Source organism: Homo sapiens, chromosome 16 (genome assembly GCF_000001405.40).
Source record: "Homo sapiens chromosome 16, GRCh38.p14 Primary Assembly".
In the NCBI taxonomy this organism is placed as follows: domain Eukaryota; kingdom Metazoa; phylum Chordata; class Mammalia; order Primates; family Hominidae; genus Homo; species Homo sapiens.
The window spans coordinates 14529408-14551892 of record NC_000016.10 but is presented as its reverse complement, the minus strand read 5'-3'; the positions used below and the strand labels follow the sequence as shown (position 1 = coordinate 14551892).

Genomic DNA, 22485 nt, shown 5'->3' with positions numbered 1-22485 from the left:
TGTCTCTGAAATAAATGAAATAATTAGTAAGTATCATGTATAGATGAGAAAATAAGACAAATCTCTTTTGATTCATTAGGTATGCTACATAGTATATTTTTTCATTTACCTCCATTCTGTTCCTTTCTCATTGCACTTTTTCTGAAGTGAGTTGCAGATTTACTTTGAGAATGAGAAGTACCTGTAATAAATTAATACTTACATTGACCTGTTCATCTCTGTACTTTCCCCCCATTTGTTGATACATATTTGAGATTTATTCACTCCATTAAACTTGTATCAAATACTTGTTGTTTTTGTTGTTGTCATTGTTGTTGTTGTTTTGAGACATAGTCTCGCTCTGTCGCCTAGGCTGGAGTGCAGTGGCGCAATGTCGGCTCACTGCAACCTCTGGTTCTCGGGTTCAAGCACTTCTCCTGTCTCAGCCTCCTGAGTAGCTGGGATTACAGGCGCGCAACATGATACCCGGCTAATTTTTGTATTTTTAGTAGAGATGGGGTTTCACGATGTTGGCCGGTTTGGTCTCAAACTCCTGACCTCAGGTGATCTGCCTGCCTCGGCCTTTCAGAGTGCTGGGATTACAGGCATGAGCCACAATGCCCAGCCTTGTTTTACAAACAAATAAACTGAATATTTTATTTGCTTTTAAAATATGGTTCTAGGCTGGGCATGGTGGCTCACGCTTGTAATCCCAGCACTTAGGGAGGCCGAGGCAGGCGGATCATCTGAGGTCAGGAGTTCGAGACGAGCCTGGCCAATAAGGTGAAACCCTATCTCTACTAAATATGCAAAATTTAGCTGGGCGTGATGGCTGAGGCAGGAGAATTGCTTGAACCCGGGAGGCAGAGGTTGCAGTGAGCCAACATCCGCACCCACTGCACTCTGGCCTGGGCGACAGAGTGAGACCCTGTCTTGAAAAAAAAAGGAGGGGATTCTAAAAAGATGGAGCACCCCGTCTCTTGTAGGATCCTAAATAATTTTGATATTTTGATATTAACCATCAATTAAACGTTTTGTTTTCTTAAGATGGGAAGTTTTTGAATAAAATATTGGTGAAAATATGTATTGTTAAGCTGTATATTCAAGTAAATTTCAAGCACCATGTTGCTTTGATAATGTAAAAGATGTGAAATTTTTAAGTGATGTGTTTGTTTTTTACTTTAACAAAATGCCGCACAGTAAAACTATAATTCTGATAGTAGAACTGGTGAGTAATTATATATGAAAATTTCTGCAAATATACAAATTCAGATCACAGTATTTTGGCATTTTTCTTTCATTATCTGACTGTTGCAGGAATCCAGGCCATGCTGTAGAGGGGAAAAGCTTAGGCTTTTGGAATCATACTGCAGCATCACTTAACAGTTGTGTGACTTTGGGTGCCTTATTTAACCTTGATGAACTTCTGCTTATCTCTGTAAACTGCGCATAATAGTATGGACTTTAGTGTTATTGTAAGGATTCCATGAGATTAAGTAAATGAACCTTGGCATGGCTTTGAGCTTTTACTGTGGTTCTTTAATAGCAGATTTCAGGGTGGAATGTACTCAGGAGCATCAGACACCAGGGATAGTGGTGGATGCAGGGTGTGATTGATGTTGCTTGTTAAATATTTTAATTTTTGCATAGAGATTTTTTCTGTGATCCATTTCCCCACTATCCTTAGAAAGATGGTTTAGAGAGAATCCAGAGGGATTGAATTATTAGAAAGCTCAAGATAACTTTAGGTGGGGGTGGGGACCTTGAGGTTACAGTTACAGTGAGGCTTCAGTGTGGCTGCAAGAAGACTGAGTTCAAAGTCCTGACCTGCAGTCTAATTCAGCTTCCTCTGCTCACTGTACACTCTTCAGCTCCTTTGCTAGCCACACTCGGTGACATTGAAGCTGTGCAGCCCGATAAAAGGAGTTTTCACAGACTGACACGGGGACTAACTTTGGCTCCACCACTTGTCAGCCATGTGTCTTTGGGCAGGTTATGTAAACCTTCCGAGCCACAGGTTCCGTGTTTGTTTAAGAGGGAGATAATAGTTACTTGGCATGATTGTTGTGAGGATGAAATGAGATCATGGATATTAAGTTGCCAGCAAAGAGCCCCATACTACACAATCAGTGCTTGACCCGTGGTAGGTAATTATTAAAATAGCTGCTTGGCCTCCCTTGCTGTGAACAGTGTGTAAGAGTGCTTTGAAATCTGTAAAACATGAGTTAGTAGCATTTATTTGAAAATACAAGCATGATTCCTTGCTTGTGTGTATGGGATGTCAAAGTTTCTTTTAAAATTCCTGTTATACCACCATATCTGATGTCAAATAACAGTTGCTCTCTTCTTTACTACTGGACAATTCTTAAAACAGTAGCTTTTAAGCTAAGTATTTTATTCCGTGGTAACTCTAATCAGGGAGCTACATTTCAGAATCATGTGTAGCCATAGAAGCACTCTATTGTCTGATTGCTCATTGCATTGGTTTCCTGAGGGCAGTGTTGGGTCCCTCTTGTTTGGCCCTGAGTCCTCTCTCATACCTGACACACACTGCAGCATGAGGAAATAAATGTGTGTTTGAATAGGGAATATGGGGAATAGGCCAAGATGAAATTGTGATATTTTACCTTTTTTCCTCCTAGGTTAAGTAGATCACTGTTCTCTTGATATATGCAGCTTTGCTAGTAAAGTTTAATTTTCCGGTATAGTCTCTTTTCTTATGCAAAAGACAACTCTTAACAAAATACTTGGCAATTTGAGCATGCTGTGCCTCTGACAACATTTCCTTTGCCAGAAGAAGCCATCTTTTATGCAGTCATCACCTCCCACCAGAACCTGACTATGCCCTCCTTCCTGCCTTATCTCAGCTTCAACATCAGTTTCTCCAATGTTTCCTTCCCCTCCCCTCCCCACCTTCCCCCCTCTCCCTTCCCCTCTTCTTCCCTCCCCTCTTCCTTTTCTGAGACAGGGTCATTTCTTTTGCCCAGGCGAGAGTGGGGTGGCACAAACTCGACTCACTGCAGCCTCCACCTCCTGGGTTCAGGCAATTCTTGTGACTCAGCCTCCCAAATAGCTGAGATTACAAGCATGCACCACCACACTGGCTAATTTTTGTATTTTTTGTAGAGACAGGGTTTTGCTATGTTGGCCAGGCCGATTTCGAACCCCTGGCCTCAAGTGATCCGCCTATCTCAGCCTCCCAAAGTTCTGGGATTATAGGCATGAGCCACTGCACCCGGCCTCTGATGTTTTCTCTGGCTCTCTTTGTAGGGTATTGAACCTCATTCTCTGTGCTTTCATAGCATCTTGTATACCTTATTATATTGTTTTCACAGATAGACTGTAAACTCTTTGAGAGTAGGGACCATGTCTCAGTCACCATTGCGTTTTTAGTGCGTAAAGTGGTAGTGTCTGACATTAGTAAGTAAATGTTGAATATTTATTGAATTGCATAAATGATATTCATAGTATTGTGACTTGGAAATGCCTTTTTGCATGTGATGGATGTAACTAATGTCTCTGCTCTTTAGCTGTGATTTCTAAAATTATGCAGATGTTTCACTGAAAGACGGTGTGAAATTTGTTCTTTATAATGGTGATTCTAATGATAAGAAGGACCCAGGGTATCTGATGTGCTGCAAATCCTATTAATTTTTTTTTTTTTTTGAGACGGAGTCTTGCTCTGTCACCCAGGCTGGAGTGCAGTGGTGCGATCTCGGCTCACTGCAACCTCCACCTCCCAGGTTCAAGCGAGTCTCCTGCCTCAGCCTCCCGAGTAGCTGGGACTACAGGTGCGTGCCTCCACTCCCGGCTAATTTTTGTTTTGTATTTTTAGTAGGGACAGGGTTTCACCGTGTTAGACAGGATGGTCTCGAATGCCTGACCTTGTGATCTGCACTCTTCGGCCTTCCAAAGTGCTGGGATTACAAGCATGAGCCACCGCGCCCGGCCCCTATTAATGTTATCTTAAACAAATTACTTATTCATTTCAGTGGAAACAGAGCGCCTCTTAGGTCAATAATGTAACATTGAGAAAATCATTAAATGCCTATTTATATAGCAGCTTATAATGGCTTCTTTGGCTCTGTTACAAACTATTTCTGATTTACATTTAAGGAGTTGCTTTTTAACTGACACTTTTTTTTTTCTTTGAGTATTACTAATTTTAATCAAGATTTTTAAAGCCATTTTTGACTTTTTTTGGGAGACTGGGTTTCACTCTGTTGCCCAAGCTGGAGTGTGGTGGCATGATTATAACTCACTGCAGCCTCGAACTCCTGGGCTCAAGCAGTCCTCTTGCCTCAGCCTCTTGAGTAGCCAGGACTATAGGTGTGCACTCACCACACCCTGCTAATTTTTTCAAAATTTTCTTGTAGAGATGGGGCCTTGCCATGTTGCTCGGCTGGTCTTGAACTCTTGGCCTCAAGCCGTCCTCTCTCCTTGGGTTCCCAAAGTGCTGGGATTACAAGTGTGAGCCACTGTGCCTGGCTATTTTCGACATTTTGAATATGAAAGTTCTCTTTTATAGGAACCCTTTTTATACTAACTACTAAAACCCGTCTACTGAGTGCCATTCGGTTTCTGTTGCTTTTCATTTGCTGCTGCTGGGAAGCGGTTCCCTGCTGGCTTTGGGGTGTTTGGATACGTGGTAACCCATACAAGCTGTGCATTTAGCATTATTCCCCCTCTGGCTCTTCAGATGAAGCAGTACATGGCCAGTGTGGGACTTGGTGCCATGGAAAGACCACTTACCTTCACCATTTGAGAATTTTTCTCAAAGTAGTCAAGCAGGAAATCTTTTTTTTTCTTTTTTTTTTTTTTGAGACAGGGTCTCTCTCTGTTGCCCAGGCTGAAGTGCCGTTGTGCGATCTTGGCTCACTGCAACTTCTGCCTCCTAGGTTCAAGCAATTCTCCTGCCTCAGCCTCCTGAGTAGCTGGGATTACAGGTGCACGCCACCACACCTGGCTAATTTTTGTATTTTTAGTAGAGACGAGGGTTCACCATGTTGGTCAGGCTGGTCTCGAACTCCTGACCTCGTGATCTGCTCACCTCCCAAAGTGCTGGCATTACAGCGTAAGCCACTGTCCCTGGCCAGGAATTCATCTTTAATGGGCAAATCTGAATAGCTTGTTTATATTTTGGATTTTTATATTTCTAATGTAGTTTTATTAAATGGGGAAGAGCTCAACAATATTTCAAATGTAGTAGAACTTTCTAGCCATACTCTCAATATTTAGACATTGTTTTGAGTGTCTTTAAATGCATCGTAGGACATTGTGTCTCTGAATATAATTTTTATAGAAATGGCTTTAGAAAAAGAGCTTTTTCACATATTTTGAAAGCTGGAGATTGGAACACACACAGTAGATACTGTAAGAAACTTTTTAAAAGCAGAAATTGATAAAGACACTTTAGAAGAGGCAGGAACTCAACAGTTATTTTGGGTCATAAAAAGTTACCCAGTAATTATAAATAAAATAAAAGCCCAAATTCAGATAGTTGTATGAATTCCTGATACCCTGCCTTAGAAGCTTTTTCAGGATGATTTTTGGGATGAGGGAAGACACTTGGCTTTGCCTCAGTCTAAATTATTGAGTGTGCTTATGTTAAATTGTGTTTTTAAAAAGCACAGCTTTTGATTATGCTGAACAGATAAATATTAGAATTGTAGAGACAACTCTTTCAGGATGATTGTTCAGCCCTGAATTTGCTAAAAGGCTGCTTATAACTTTGAACTTTACCTGTGCTTTTTATTATCCTTTTGATGTTTGCAGAATCTGTAGTGATAACTGGTTTTTATTCGTGATATTACTCATTTGTGTCTCATTTTTCCTTGTTCATTCCAGTCAGCTGTTACCATTTTGTTGATCTCTCTCAAGAACGCTTTTGGCTGTGTTCGTTTCTCTGTATTGTTTGATATTGTCTATTTTGTTGGTTTCTGTTTTTTTTCTCCTTTTACTTGCTTGGGTTTACTTTGCTCTTCTTTTCTCAGTTTCTTGAGCTAGAACCGTATGTGATTGGTTCTTCTTTTCTTCTTTTTTCTAAATTCTTTTTAAAAAATTTAAGCCTGGCGTCCTCGAGGTTGTTGGTAGGTCAACATATTAATATCTTACTGATTAGCCAGTGATTGGTAAGAGGTGGTGCTGAAACACCTTGAGCTGGTAAAGCTTTAACCCTTTGCCAGCTAAGTTAGGGAACAGACTCAACATTCCGGCAGCTTACAAGTCTGCCCCAATGTTTACTTTTGTCTGGACCTCTGTCCTCTGTGGGCGCACAGGCCTTATGGTCAGCTAGCTATGTGTACATAGCTAAGACTCTGCAAGTCATTGACTTGAACCATTTTCCTTTTCTAACAGAAGCATTTAAAGCTATAAATTATCCTCTAAGTACTGCGTTAGTTGTATGTTAACTGTTTATTTATACGTATGTTTTAAATATCATTAAGTTGGAAAAGTTTTGTGATTTCTTCTTTGATCCTGGATTATTTAGAAATGTGTTGTTTCATTTCCAAATGCTTAGGATTTCGTTAGATTTCTTGTTACTAATTTATAATTTCATTCTGTTGTGACTAAAGATTTCAATAGGATTTCAGTCCTCTTAAATTTACCAGAATTTCCTTTATAGTCAAGCATAAGGTCTATGTTTTTGAACATACTGTGTGCACTTAAAAAGAACATCAATATTGGTTAGTCTTATTCATATATCCTGCATCCTTTTTTTGATGTTTTTCTTTGAGACAGAGTCTGGCTCTGTCACCCAGGCCAGAGTATGATCTCGGCTCACTGTAACCTCCACCTCCTGGGCTCAAGCCATCCTCCCACTTCAGCTTCCTGAGTAGCTGGGACTGCAGACACACGCTAGGATGCCTGGCTAATTTTTGTATTTTTTGGTAGAGATGGAGTTTCACCATGTTACGCAGGCTGACCTTGAACTGTTGAGCTCAAGCAATCCTCCCACCTCAGCCTCCCAAAGTGCCGGGATTACAGGCATGAGCCACTGTGCCCAGTCTTATTCTATATCTTCACTGACTTTTTTAGATTTAGTTGTTATATCAGTTTTTGAGAAGGGTTAAAATCGCCTGTGATTGTAGAATTGTCTGTTTACCCTTTTAATCTTGTCAATTTTCATGTCATGTATTTTGTGGCTGTATTATTAGGGGCATACGTATTTATGATTGTTTTGTCTTTCTGATAAACTGGCCTCTTTATAAAATGTTCTCCTTTATCTTTTGTAATACTATTATTTTTAAGTCTACCTTATCTGATATTATAATCACTTCATCCTCCTTATGTTTTTTATATTTGCCTGGTATATTCTTTTATTATTATTTTTCTTTTTGATACAGAGTCTCATTCTGTTGCCCAGGCAGGAGTGCAGTGGTGCGGTCTCAGCTTACTGCAACCTCCACCTCCTGGCTTTAAGTGATTCTCCTGCCTCAGCCTCCTGAGTAGCTGAGATTACAGGTGTGTGCCACCATGCCCAACTAATTTTTGTATTTTTAGTAGAGACAGGGTTTTGCCATGTTGCCCAGGCTGATCTCGATCTCCTTGCCTCAAGTGACCCACCTGCATTGACCTCCGAAAGTGCTGAGATTACAGATGTGAGCCGCCACACCCAGCCAAACTGGTCTTTTCCTTCTATTTATTCTAGACCTATCTGTGTATACACAAAGTGAGTCTCTTGTAGACAGTGTATAGCTTGGTTTTGGTTTTCTTTTTTTTGAGATGGAGTCTTGCTCTGTCACCCAGGCTAGAGTGCAATGGCATGATCTTGGCTCACCGCAACCTCCACCTCCCGGGTTCAAGCGATTCTCCTGCCTCTGCCTCCCAAGTAGCTGGGATTACAGGCATGCACCCCCATGCCTGGCTAATTTTGTATTTTTAGTAGAGACGGTTTCTCCATCTTGGTCAGGCTGGTCTTGAACTCCCGACCTCAGGTGATCTTCCCGCGTTGGCCTCCCAAAGTGCTGGGATTACAGGCGTGAGCCACCGTGCCCAGCCGGGTTTTGCTTTTTTATTTCTTCTGTTGACTCTGAAATTTAATTGGAGTATTTAGTCCAATTTAATGTCCTTATTGATATGGTTAGGTCTGTCATTTTAAAATTTGCTTTTTGTTTGCTTTCTCTGTGTTTTGTTCTTTTGTATACCCCCTTTTCTGCCTTCTTTTGGATTATTTGAATTTTTAAAAAGAATTCTGTTTTAATTTCTCTGCTGGCTTTTTTGTTTTATCTTTTTGCATTATTTTTAGTGGTTGCTTTACAAATTTAAATATCTATCCATAACTTTTAACAGTCTTCTCAGAGTTCATATTATACCATTTCACATAGAATGTAGAGACCTTACAATCATATAGGTTCATTTACAACCATTCCTTGTAGTCTTTTAGGCTTTAATTGGGCATATGTATTACATCTGCATTCATTATAAATCCCAGAAAGTGGTGTTACAATTTTACTTTAAACTCTCTATGTATTTTAAGAAATAAGGAGAAGAAAATATTTAGTCAGATATTTACCATTTTCAGTGTTCCTCATTCATGCCTGAAGATCCAGGTTTCTTTTTTGGTATCCTTTTCCTTCAGCTTTGTGAATTTACTTTAGTATTTCTTGTATTGATGGTTTGGTTGGCAGCTGATTCTCTAATTTTTTCTTTATCTGAAAATGTCTTTATTTTGCCTTTATTCACACAGGATATTTTCACTGGATATAGAATTCTGGGTTTTTCTTTCAGTGTTTTAAAGCTGTAGTTCCACTGTCTTCTGGCCTCCATGGTTTAAGATGAGATGTTTGTGTCATTTGAATTGTCATTTTCCTGTATATAATGTGTTAATTTTCTCTGGTTATTTTCAACATTTTCTATTTACGATTGGTTTTAGCAGTTTGAATATAATGCACGTAGGCGTAGCTTTCTTTGCAATTGTCCTGTTGGGGTTGGCTGAACTTATTGAGTCTATAAATTCATAGTTTTCACAGGATTTGGGAAGTTTTTAGACATTATTCAAATAATCTTTGTGTTCCATATTCTCTTTCTTCTCCTCTGAGACTCCAGGTACCCACATGTAGGAGATCTTTTGATGTTTTGGTATTTCCTAATGCTCTGTTCCTTTTTTCTGTGTTCGTTTCTTTGTCTTCTTCAGGTTATATATTTTCTGTCTATCCACAGGATCACTGACTCTTTCCTCTGACATCATTTTTCTGCTATTAAGCCCATCCAGTGAATTTTTATTGCATATATTGTATACTTTAGTTATGTATTTTCATTCAGTTTATTTTTTCTGTTTCTCTGTAGAGAGTTTCTTTTATTTCATTTGGAGCCTATGTTTCTGTTTTCTTTTCTTTTTTTTTTTAATTTTTTTGAGTTCCTGGCCACTTAGTCTTTATTTCTTTACCTCATTGAACATAGTTATAATAGGTTGTTTAAAGTCCTTGTCTACTGGCTGTGGTGGTGCACATTTTTATTCCCAGCTACTAGGGAGGCTATGGTGGAAGGATTGCTTGAGCCCAGTTTGAGGCTGTAATGAGCTGTAACTGTACCACTCCACTCCAGCCTGAGAGATACAGCGAGACCCTGTCTCTTAAAAAAGTTAAAAAAAGAAGAAAAAAAAAAAAGCCCAGGTGTGTTGGCTCATGACTGTAATCATAGTACTTGTAGAGGCAAAGGAGGGAAGATTACTGGAGCGTAGGAGTTTGAGACCAGCCTGGGCAACATAGTGAGACCCTGTCTCTACTAAAAATAAACAAAATTAGTCAGGCATGGTGGCATGTACCTGTAGTCCCAGCTACTTAGGAGGCTGAGGTGAGAGGATCCCCTGAGCTCAGGAGGTCAAGGTTGCATTGAACCAATATCACGCCACTGCACTCCAGCCTGGGTGACAGTGCAAGACCCTGTCTCAAAAAAAAATCATTCTCTAATAATTCCAACATCTGCATCATCTGAGGGTTGTTGATACCTGTTGTTGGGATGGTTTCCCTTGAGAATGGGTCATGTTTTCCTGGTTCTTTGTATATTGAGTAATTTGGGATTGAGTAATTTCATTGGTTTCCTGGACATTGTGAATGTTCTCTTGTGGAGACTCTGGATTTAGTTACATTCCTTAGAAGAATGTTGATATTTGTATTTTAATTTCAGCAGGTAATTGGCCTGGTGCAGTGGCTCACGCCTGTAATTCCAGCACTTTGGGAGGCTGAGGTGGGTGGATCACTTGAGGTCAGGAGTTTGAGACCAGCCTGGCCAGCATGGTAGAATCCCGTCTCTACTAAAAAATAGAAAAATTATCTGGACATGGTAGCATGTACCTGTAATCCCAGCTACTCAGGTGGCTAAGGCAGGAGAATCACTTGAACCCAGGAGGCAGAGGTTGCAGTGAGCCGAGATCACACCACTGCACTCCAGCCTGGGTGACAGAGCGAGACTCCATCTCAAAAAATAAATAAATAAAAATGAAAAATAATTTCAGCAGATAATTAACTTTGTTAGACTCAAACTACAAACTTTTTCATGGCTGTGGTGGGTTGTGGCTCAGAACTTAGCTTAGATTGCTCCCAGTTTGCCACATGCATGGTTTAGGGTCAACCAGAGACTTGGGCTGGGTCTATATACCAATATGAGTTTCTTCTTCTTCTCTAACTTCCTGTTTTCCAGAATTCCTTCCTCACTCTCTATTGCCCCTGTTTGCCCCTAAGCTTCTTCCATAAGGACTTCCTTACCTTTGATTTTTTAAAAAGTTATTTAGTTTCATGACATACCCTGCATGTAGCATTCAAAACCTGTGCTTTAAAAAAAAAAAAAAAAAAAGATGTTTCGCCATGATGTCCAGGCTGGTCTCAAACCCCTGAGATCAAGCGATCCACTTGCCGCAGCCTCCCAAAGTGCTAGGATTACAGGCATGAGCCACTGTGTTTGGCCGAAATCTGTGCTTTTTAGTTGTAACCCTTATGGCATCTATTTTTTTGTTTGTTTTTTCAAGACGGAGTCTTGTCCTGTGGCCCGGGCTGGAGTGCAGTGGCGCGTTCACAGCTCACTGCAGCCTCTACCTCCTGGGCTCAAGCAGTCCTCCTGCCTCAGCCTCCTGAGTAGCTGGGACTACAGATGTACACCACCATGCCCAGCTAATTTTTTATTTCATTTAGAGATAAGGATTTGCCATGTTGCCCAGGCTGGTCTTCAATTCCTGGGCTCAAGCCACCTGCCTGCCTCAGCCTCCAGCAATCTGCCTGCCTCAGCCTCCTAAAATCTTGGTATTACAGCTGTGAGCCACCGTGCCTGGCTGGCACCTATTTTGTGATCCAGACCTTCCTTCCATATCACATACCATGCTTAAACTACTTTAATAACATTTTCAGAAAATCTAATGTAAATGCATCAAAAAGCATGCCTTTAACTGATTAAAAGTGACTCAAGTTCATTTCCTTTCAGATATATATATGTATTATATCTGAAATACAATATATTGATATATATTTGATACGCTGTCCAGACATAGTAGTGTCTTTGCTTCTACCTTTGGTGCCTTTTGTAGTTGGCCAGTGTGTTACTGTTTATTTATTCTTGTCACAGAGGAAATGCACAAAATATTCAATAAAAACCAAAAAATGAATATTTTTCACATGAATGTTAATTTTCCTAATCTTAAACTGTATGTAGAATTCGTTTACAGTAGTGATCTTGAATTCTAAATGTGGCAATAGATAAATGAGTCAAACTATGGCATGACTTTTAAAAATAAGATTTCTGTTAAGCTTATTTTGGAGGAGGATATATGATTTTTATGCTGTAAGTACAGGATCCTGGAAAGCATGTTCAGTTGTCCCTTGGTATCCATGGGGGATTGGTTCCAGGACTCCATGCAGACTTCAAAATCCAGGCATGTTCAAGGCCTTGATATAAAATGCTATAATTTTTGCATATAACCTGTACATATCCTCCTGTATACTTAAAAACATCACTAGATTACTTACATGCCTAACAATGCAAATGCTATGTAAGTAGTTGTTATATTGTATATTGTTTAGGAAAAATGACAAGAAAAAAGTCTGTGTGTTCAGTACAGACGCAATTTTTTCCCCCAAATATTTTCCATCTGAGTCGGTTAAATCCACAGATGGGAAACCCACAGATATGGAGGGCTGACAGTATTTCTTTTTAACAGGCAAGATTTTTACAACAGTGGCTTATAAAATACCTCAGTCTGCTATAGGAGAATCATTATTAGTAAGACATGTGAATGTATGTTTTGTATGGATGGATACCTTCTGATTAGAAAACTTGTAAAAGCAACTGACTTGTTTTTCTCTAAATCACTTAAGTCATCAAAAGCACCATGGAAATGTTTAATAATACTGACTGAGAATCTTATTGTTTTCTGATATCCCTAATGTGTTCAATTTGGAGAATTAGCCGTCTTATGTATCTCTGCTACGAAATGTTCATCAGACAGATTTAAGAGCGTGACAATAACTTGGACTCTCCCTAATTAGCATTCTTTAGGGCATTAACTGGTATGAGAATAGAGCAAAAAGCTTTCTGAGTGCCAGAGAAGGATTCCCAAGTCCTTGATACAGCATTAAAGCGGCTGTTGTGTCCTGTGGCAGTTAGAATGCAGCCAGGAGAAGGGGAGCACTTGTGCTCTGGAGACCGAAGTTTCATATTCTGTTACATTGTTTCTTATCCATATTACTGGCACTTGATTTTTATGTTTTAGGGCAGCAGTCTTTGGCACCAGGGACTGGTTTTGTGAAAGACAGTTTTTCCACAGAGCTAGGTGGGAGCAGGGGTAGGGAATGGTTTTGGGATGATTCAAGCACATTACATTTATTGTGTGTTTTATTTCGGTTATTATTACATTGTAATAATGAAATAATTATACAACTCACCATAATGTAGAATCATTGGGAGCCCTGACCTTGTTTTCCTGCAACTAGACAGTCCCATCTGGGGGTGATGGGAGACAGTGACAGATCATCAGACATTAGATTCTGGGAGTGCACAACCTAGATTCCTCATATGTGCAATTTACAATAGGGCTCATGTTCTTACGGGAATCTAATGCTGCCACTGATCTGACAGGACGTGGAGCTTAGGTGGTAATGCGAGCGATGGGGAGTGGCTGTAAAAACAGATGAAGCTTTGCTAGCTCACCTGCTGCTCATCTCCTGCTGTGCAGCCTGGTTCCTAACATGCCAGGGAACATAGATCAGTACAGATTGGCGACTTCGGTTTTAGGGCCTATGTTAGCTGGACCTAAGAATGTTTGCTTTATGATGCGGTTTCAGAGTATTGAATAAATCTCTCTAATTTAATTGCAATGTCATTTGTGAAAAATTGCTTTCATTGTGCTCTCTCACCCCCTTCAAAAATTTGAAGTACATCAATCTCATTGAAAATGTGAAAAAAAGGCCAGGCGTGGTGGCTGACACCTGTAATCCCAGCACTTTGGGAGGCTGAGGCAGGCGTTATCACTTGATGCCAGGAGTTTGAGACCAGCCTGGTCAACATGGCAAAACCCTGTCTCTACTAACAGTACAAAAATTAGCTGGGCATGGTGGCGTTGCACCTGTAGTCCCAGTTACTTGGGAGGCTGAGGCAGGAGAGTTGCTTGAACCCGTGGGGCAAAGGTTGTAGTGAGCCAAGATCATGCCCCTGCACTCCAGCCTGGACGACAGAATGAAACTGTCTCAAAAAAAAAAAAAAAAAAAGTGAAAAATATTTGAAAATACAAGGAAAACAATTCAGCCATGATCTTACAACCTAGTAATGAAGTAAAATTTTGGTATTTCCTGTTTCTTTACTCTGCCTAGATAAGTATTTTCATATTATTTCCCCTTTAATTTTAGTTGACACATGATCATTGTACGTACATATTTATGGGATTCAGAGTCACATTTCAATATATGTATACAGTATGTAATGATCAAATCATTAGCATATCCATCATGTCAAAGATGTATTATAGTTTTGTGTTGTGAACATTCAAACTTCTCTCTTCTAGCTTTTTGAAAATATATAATAAATTATTATTTAACCACATTTACCACATTCACCTTCCAGTGCTGCCAGAACATCAGAACACATTCCTCTTATCTCACTGTAATTTTGTAGGCATTAACCAGCGTCTCTCTATCCTCCTCTTCCCTCTACCCTTCCGCGCCTTTAATACTCCCAATTATACTCTCTACTTGAGCTCAAAGCTTTTCGGCTCCCACATACGAATCAGAACATGCATTTGCCTTTCTATGCCTGCCGTATTTTGCTTAAGCTAATGTCTTCTAGGCTCATCTGTGTTGCCATAAATGACAGAATTTCATTCTTTTTTTTGGCTAAATGGTATTACATTGTGATATATACCACATTTTCTTTATCCACTCATCTTTTGATGAACATTTAGGTTGATTCCTTATCTTAGCTATTGTGAATAGTGCTGCAGTAAACATGGGGGTGCAGCGTATGCCTTTGACTTTGTTTCCTTCAGATAAATTTCCACTAGTGGGATTGCTGAATTGTATGGTAGTTCTGTTTCTAATTTTTTGAGGAACTTCCACGCTGTCTTTCATAGTAGCCATCCTAATTTTCCATCCCACCAACAGTGTGTAAGAGTTCCCATTTCTCTACATCATCGCCAGTCTGTGTTATTTTTTTGTCTTTTTTATAGTAGTCATTCTGACTGGGTTGAGATGGTATCTTACTGTTGTTTTGATTCACATTTCCCTGTTGATTTAGTGATGTTGAACATTTTCTTATGTTTGTTGCCATTTGTATGTCTTCTTTTGAGAAATGCCTTTTCTGTTTCTTTGCCTACTTTTTAATTGGATCATGTGGGTTCTTTGCCATTGAATTGTCTGAGTTCTTGTATATTCTGAATATTAGTCCCTTTTTGGATAGTTTGCAAATATTTTCTCCCATTCATCGGGTTGTTTTTCATTCTGTTGATTGTTTCTTTTGCTGTGCAGAAGCATTTCAGTTTAATATAGTCTCATTTTTCTGTTATTTTATTGTTGCCTGTGCTTCGAAGTCTTAGCTGTAAAATCTTTGTCTGGACCAATGTCTTTTAGCATTTGTCTAATGTTTTCTTCTAGTAGTTTTATAGTTTTGAGTCTTATGTTTAACATTTTTAATACTAATTGGGCTGAGACTTGAAATGCATTTTTGGATCTGCTTTTTTAATTAATCATGTCACAAGCGTTTCACATACCACTTATTTTTATTAGAAAAATTTAAAACTACATAGAAAAGGAAAAAGTTGTTTAATACCCCTCTCTTTATTAACAAAGATAATTGCAGATTAATATTTGAGATTTACCTTTCAATTGTGTATATAGTATTTAAGTGTACGATACATCTGCAGGATCAAGATCGCACAGCACACTTTAGAAAGCAGGTACCACTGTGCCTTATTTAGTGCCATAGTCATAATTCACTCTCTGGAAATACTTTAGGACTCTGGTGATAATAGGAAACGCAAAGCAGTGAAATTAATCTGCCAGTTTGCTCTTCGGCCACTGAGAAACTAAATATAAGGATCCTTATTTCTGAGGCTTTTAATGTTTTGTCGTTGTTTTTGTCAGTAGATATAATGAAATAGTTGATTAATATTAGCTGTGCTAGTCTTTACATGTTGACATTGTTTTCTCGTACATGATTCCTGTTCCCTACAACCTCACAGTTTTAAAAAATGAAATCTGATTTTAGCAAATTTAAAATATAAGTGAAATGTATTTGGAGGACTTTGTTATATAAATGGCTAATCCAGAATATAATATTATTTTGTAACTAAAAATGTTACCAATAAATCTTTCAGGGTGATGGAACTATAGATGGATTTTATGTTCTTATGTTTTCTTCTATTTTCTGATTTTTCCATAGTGAATAATGTGTAATACAATTTTTAAATTTAAGACTAAAAAAGCATTATATGCTTTTTTATTTTTTAAATAAGTAAAGGAACACAGCAAAGGGAAACATCTTGCTTTTAAAACTCTTAATATGGCTAGCAGAGTACAGTAGTCCCTCCTTATCCATGGAGGATACATTCCGAGACTCCAAGTAGATGCCTGAAGCTGGAGATGGTATGAAAGCCTGTATGTACTCTGTTTTTCCTATACATACATACCTATGATAAAGTTAAATTTATAAATTAGGCACAGGAAGAGATTAACAATAATAACCGACAATGAAACAGAACATTTATAACAATATTCTTAATAAAAGCTATGTGTATGTGCTCTGTTTTTCTCAAAATATCTTATCATACTCTACTGTAGGAAACAAACTTTGGAAAGCAAAATCATAGATAAGGGGGAACTAACTGTAGCCCTGTTTTTGTTGCTGACTGTAATTATTTTATGGCATTGTTTTTTCTAATCATGAAATGTATAGCATTAGTTTCTCTGAATTTTCCATCAACTTTTTGGTTTAAATCTGCTATTCTGAAAAAGAATCTATTAAACATTTTTGATTTGTGATGTTTATTGATAATATTTCCACTGTTGAGTATTTGTACAACTTGTCTTTTCTTAGAAAAGATGTAATTTATATATCCTGGAAAGAAGCCCAAACATCACTTTAATACCAGAGTGAATGTTACTTCATTTTGTTTAGCAAAAACACTAGCAAATGCTAGACCACTGGAGTGTTAGGTAACTTAAAATTGATGGCAGTGGTGACCTGAGCACCTCAGACCAGGGGTTTACCCACATCTCATCTAGTACTCACTAACATCTAGGTTAGTGAGTACTTTCAGGTGATAAGATTATAAAAAGTAAACATGACTTAAAATAGTTATTTAGCCAGGGTGCGATGGCTCACGCCTGGAATCCCAGCACTTTGGGAGGCCGAGGCGAGCGGATCACCTGAGGTCGGGAGTTCGAGACCAGCCTGACCAACATGGAGAAACCCTGTCTCTACTAAAAATACAAAATTAGCCGGGCATGGTGGCACATGCCTGTAATTCCAGCTACTTGGGAGGCTGAGGCAGGAGAATCGCTTGGACCCGGGAGGTGGAGGTTGTGGTGAGCCGAGATGGCGCCATTGCACTCCAGCCTGGGCAACAAGAGTGAAATTCTGTCTCCAAAAAAAAAAAAAAAAATTTAGAAATGAAACTTTACATTATGCAGTCCAGCTATTAATAGTAGGAATGCCTTTCATCCTTTCCGCTTGTGAAGTGGAGCGATGTGGGGAACTTCACAGAAACTTGTTTTCAAATTGCATCAGAGGCCAAGGAGCAGCTGCTACTCCTCCTATGTAAAGGAACACAGAAAGACACTGTCATATAAAATAAACTGAAAATGAGATTTTTCCCATCAGTCTTTTTTTAATATTATGTAATAATTTAGAGGGAAGAGAAACAAATGATCGTAGCATATTATGTAGGGGGGGAAATGAACTCATTATAGAATATCACTAATTTAAATAATTGTCTATTAATGCCCCAAATAAGTTTGAATCGCTTTTAGTGCATATTGAAGTTCACATTTAGGTATGCACTTCTGTGATTATATTTTAAGATGGAGGGTAAGCCTCTTATTTCTTACTGATTTATCTTTGTATAGTCTAGATACCATATGTTTATATGCCCTGTGTTCTTTATAGTAACAACAGAATAATTAGGAAGGTATTTTGCAAGATTTTTGAAACAATGGCTTTCATTTGAAACCTGCAGTATTATTCTTTAAGTATTGCCTTTTTTTTTTTTTTTTTTCTGAGACAGGGTCTTACTCCAGTTGCCCAGGCTGGAGTGCAGTGGCGCGATCTTGGTTCACAGCAGCCTTGACCTCCCGGGCTCAGATTACCCTCCCACCTCAGCCTTCTGAGTAGCTGGGACTACAGGAGCATGCCACCATGCCTAATTTTTTGTATTTTTAGGAGAGATGGGGTTTCACCATGTTGTCCAGGCTGGTCTCAAACACCTGGACACAAGCAGTTTGCCTGCCTCAGCCTCCCAAAGTGCTGGGATTACAGGCGTGAGCCACCACGCTTGGCCAATATTTGCCTTTGTACTGTTGAAGGACTGAGGGACTGAATTTAGATGTGGAAGATGAAATAATTGGCTTTCCATTCAAGGAATCAGTGTCTTGTGGTGCAGGCAGGTGTGTAGACAACCAGTGCATCAGTGGCTACTGAGTGTTGTGATAAAGGGAAGATCCTGGGGAGAGTGAACTGGCTCAAACTGGCAGGAAGATGCAGAAGAGGGTCACCAGGGAAGGCTTCCGAGGAGGCGATGGTGATGCCTGTGCTCACCCTCCGGTCATAAGTTGGAGTTGCCTAGTAGAGGAAGGCTGAGAAACCTGTGGTGGATTGTGGGACCAGCACATCCTTTGGCATGACTGAAACAGAGGGCACGTGGAGTGGAGCAGCTGTGGGGCAGCGGGGAGCTAGAACGTGGAAACATGGATTTTACTTGATTTGTTAAAAATCAGAGTTTGGAACCTCTCCCTCTCCCTCTCCCTCTCCCTCTCCCTCTCCCTCTCCCTCTCCCTCTCCCTCTCCCTCTCCCTCTCCGTCTCCCCACGGTCTCCCTCTCTTTCCACGGTCTCCCTCTGATGCCAAGCCGAAGCTGGACTGTACTGCTGCCATCTCGGCTCACTGCAACCTCCCTGCCTGATTCTCCTGCCTCGGCCTGCCGAGTACTTGCGATTGCAGGCGCGCGCCGCCACGCCTGACTGGTTTTCATATTTTTTTGGTGGAGACGGGGTTTCGCTGTGTTGGCCGGGCTGGTCTCCAGCTCCTAACCGCGAGTGATCCGCCAGCCTCGGCCTCCTGAGGTGCCGGGGTTGCAGACGGAGTCTGGTTCACTCAGTGCTCAATGGTGCCCAGGCTGGAGTGCAGTGGCGTGATCTCGGCTCGCTACAACCTCCACCTCCCAGCCGCCTGCCTTGGCCTCCCAAAGTGCTGAGATTGCAGCCTCTGCCCAGCCGCCACCCCTTCTGGGAAGTGAGGAACGTCTCTGCCTGGCCGCCCATCGTCTGGGACGTGAGGAGCCCCTCTGCCTGGCTGCCCAGTCTGGAAAGTGAGGAGCCCCTCTCCCGGCCAGCTGCCCTGTCCGGGAGGGAGGTGGGGGGGTCAGCCCCCCGCCCGGCCAGCCACCCCGTCCGGGAGGGAGGTGGGGGGGTCAGCCCCCCGCCCGGCCAGCCGCCCCGTCCAGGAGGGAGGTGGGGGGGTCAGCCCCCCACCCGGCCAGCCGCCCCTCCCGGGAGGTGAGGGGCGCCTCTGCCCGGTCGCCCCCCCGTCTGGGAGGTGTGCCCAGCAGCTCATTGAGAACGGGCCATGATGACAATGGCGGTTTTGTGGAGTAGAAAGGGGGGAAAGGTGGGGAAAGGATTGAGAAATCGGATGGTTGCCGTGTCTGTGTGGAGAGAGGTAGACATGGGAGACTTTTCGTTTTGCTCTGTACTAAGAAAAATTCTTATCCTGTTTATCTGTGACCTTGCCCCCAACCCTGTGCTCTCTGAAACATGTGCTGTGTCCACTCAGGGTTAAATGGATTAAGGGCGGTGCAAGATGTGCTTTGTTAAACAGATGCTTGAAGGCAGCATGCTCCTTAAGAGTCATCACCACTCCCTAATCTCAAGTACCCAGGGACACAAACACTGCGGAAGGCCGCAGGGTCCTCTGCCTAGGAAAACCAGAGAACTTCGTTCACTTGTTTATCTGCTGACCTTCCCTTCACTATTGTCCTATGACCCTGCCAAATCCCCCTCTGCGAGAAACACCCAAGAATGAACAATTAAAAAAAAAAAAAAAAAAAATCAGAGTTTGAATCTTGTGCCTTGTATAAACTTTGCTGTCATGTTGGTTGGGGGGATTTATTTATTCTTGGTTAAAGCAAGTTTTATATTTTAATTTAATTTAATTTTTTAAGACAGGATCTCACTCTGACAGGGTCAAGCTGGAGTACAGCAGTGCGATCATAGCTCACTGCAGCCTCGAACTCCTGGGCTGAAGCGATCCTCCTGCCTTAGCCTTCCAAGTAGCTGGGACTATAGGTGCATGCAACCATGCCTGCCTTTTTTTTTTTTTTTTTAAAGAAATGGGATCTTGCTATCTTGGCCAGGTTGAATACAAGTTTTAAAATAAAATATTACATCTAACCAGTTTTCATTGAGAAGTCTGGGGCTTTTGAAAGAATTTCCAAGTATTGAGTACGAAGTTGGTCAACCAAATAGAGCTGCCCTTGGAAAGCATGGTTGTTGTCTGGGGGGGCACCCTCATGGCACTCTTTCCCATGTGTGTAGGATGGCATGGTAGCACAAAGTCAAAAGTAGATGAAATTGACGGACGTACCCAAACAGTTTCTATGTATTTTTAAGCATGGTAGAAGGTTAGTCTTTGCATGTACTCTAGTTCACAGCCTTTTCTAAGAGGCTGAGGCCAAATTGAATTTATCTGGGAACCTGCCACATCTATAAATGCTACATAGGGTAATAAATGGGCCATTGGCTTCCAAGAATCAGTGACAGTGCACTTTAGTTCCTAATTTAGAGTTCATGAAAATTATCCCTTGACAAACAGATTGTGAAAAAGGAAACCCTATTAGATGGATTCATCTGTTTTTTTTTTTTGAGATGGAGTCTTGTGCTGTCACTCAGGCTGGAGTGCGGTGGTGTGATCTCACCTCACTGCAACCTCTGCCTCCCTGCAACCTCTGCGTTCTGGGTTCTAGCAATTCTCCTGCCTCAGCCTGCTGAGTAGCTAGGACTACAGGCACTAACCACAACGCCTGGCTAATTTTTGTATTTTTTGATATAGATGGGGTTTCACTCTGTTGGACAGGCTGTTCTCAAACTCCAAGTGATCTGCCTGCTTCAGCCTCCCAAAGTGCTGGGATTACAGGCATGAGACACCACGCCTGGCCTGCCTTTTGACAAATGTAAGCTGTTGTTTCCACAATGATGTGGGAGTGAGTCAAGGTGGGGGATGGATGGATGGATGGATGGATGGATGGATGAATGAATGAATGCATGCATGAATGAATGAATACAGATAACAAGTGTTTTTGTCTTCAGAGGAAGAGGCAATGTCAGTCTGTCCCACCCAGTAGACTTGGCTTCTCTGCATGGGGGCTACATCTTAGTCATTATTCTACATCCTTGGCATTTGGAATGGTGCTGGCACAGAGCTGGAGAGGGCTTTGAGGAGATGCCCTGGTACAGTCCTTGGGAAGGGGCCAATTCTGGGATAGCCGAGAAGAGAGAGGAGCATGGCACCCAACAGAGTGATGAACGAAGGCGGAAGTTTACGACAGTGTTCACCCAGTGAGGGTTGCACTCCCTCACTGGGTTGTGAAGTCATTTGAATGAATGGTGACCAGCATTTTTAATAAAATGGAAGAAGTTAGAAAATGTCAGTGTGTCTTATATAATATAGTTTTTTTTTTTTAATGTAACCTTTTTTTCAGGGTTCTGTACGTACAGATGTATGTGTGTGTACTGGGTTATAATGCACATGGATTTCTTGTTGAGGGTTATGGTAAACAGAGTTTGAACTCAGGCACTTCAGGAGAAACACAGATTAAAGTCCTCATTTAAAGAAGAATTACTCTTTTCCAGGTGTGCAAAGCACTGTGGCGGGTGTTGGTGGGCTGGGGGGAAGCAGAGGTAACTGGCAGAGCTCTCCCTCCTCAGGTGCTGCCTCTCTCTAGAGTAGCCTGGGGCTTGGGATTCCTGTGGACAGCTTCAGGAAGAAATGCTCATTCCTTCACCCTGTGGTCTCCACAGGTCTGGAGGAGACTTCTGTGCTGCTCACCAAGAGAAGGATGTCGTGATTAAAGCACAGTCCTCTCTCTGTCCACCTTGCTTGGCTCTCCTTGAGGGAGCAGGATGAATAGCTTACCTGATGAGCAGAATCAGGAAGAGTCTGACACCCAAGGGCCATTTGACAAGTGGATGGGGCCACTGCATTGAAGAAGGCAGGCCTGGAAACCAGCTGCTGGGGTCTCTTGGAAGCTGAGATTAAGGAATCGTTTAGAGTTCAGAGGCCTCTTGCAGCTGTCATGATGGGGTCTCGTGGTCTGGATTTCTGGATTTCTGTAGGGATGGTATCACCTATAGGAGGAAGCCCCATTTGGACCTCACACTCAAGATCCTTCTCCAGCACAGTCTACCAAGGAGTCCCATGCTTGAGGGGAACAGGAAGGGGATGCCGAGTCCTCATGGGCTCCATAAGAGGATGATAGTCCTCGTTAGAACCATCAGAGGACGATACTCCCTACCTGCCAACGAGTACCAGTGGGAGTGGTTGTTGGGCCAGTGTCTGATACTTTATTGCTGGCCATCAAATTTGGACTTTGTGAACAGCAGAGAACCTTTTTGCACAGCCAGGGGGATGGATGTGACTCTGATGACATGATAAGGAATTTCTTTCATAGGGCGCAGTGGGCTTCAATGTCAGGGCTGAGAGGCTGGAAGTGGCTGCAGTGTGCCCAGAAGTGGAGCAGTAGCCAGTAGTGACCTACAGTTACTATTCCATTACTGATCTGTGAGGGTGTTTAATTGCTACTGACATTGTTCGGATTTT

General features: G+C 41.4%; 1 protein-coding gene and 1 long non-coding RNA gene across 12 annotated transcripts in view, besides 1 other annotated feature; both read left to right on the top strand.

Annotated features, from left to right (window-relative positions):
• Positions 1-22485, top strand: part of PARN (poly(A)-specific ribonuclease) — a 194560-nt gene that overhangs the window by 78368 nt on the left and 93707 nt on the right. The gene's annotated exons all lie outside the window — the stretch shown is intronic.
• On the top strand, positions 865-21316 carry LOC107984865 (uncharacterized). Its single transcript, XR_001752089.3, has 2 exons — positions 865-20839; positions 20976-21316. It is a non-coding gene; the product is annotated as an uncharacterized LOC107984865 (long non-coding RNA).
• Positions 18967-19716: an enhancer, noted in NCBI's record as "NANOG-H3K27ac-H3K4me1 hESC enhancer chr16:14626034-14626783 (GRCh37/hg19 assembly coordinates)". NCBI's record gives its function as "activates a minimal SCP1, AML or CMV promoter by ChIP-STARR-seq in naive H9 embryonic stem cells {active_cell/tissue: H9 hESC(naive)}" and the evidence as "EXISTENCE:reporter gene assay evidence [ECO:0000049][PMID:30033119]".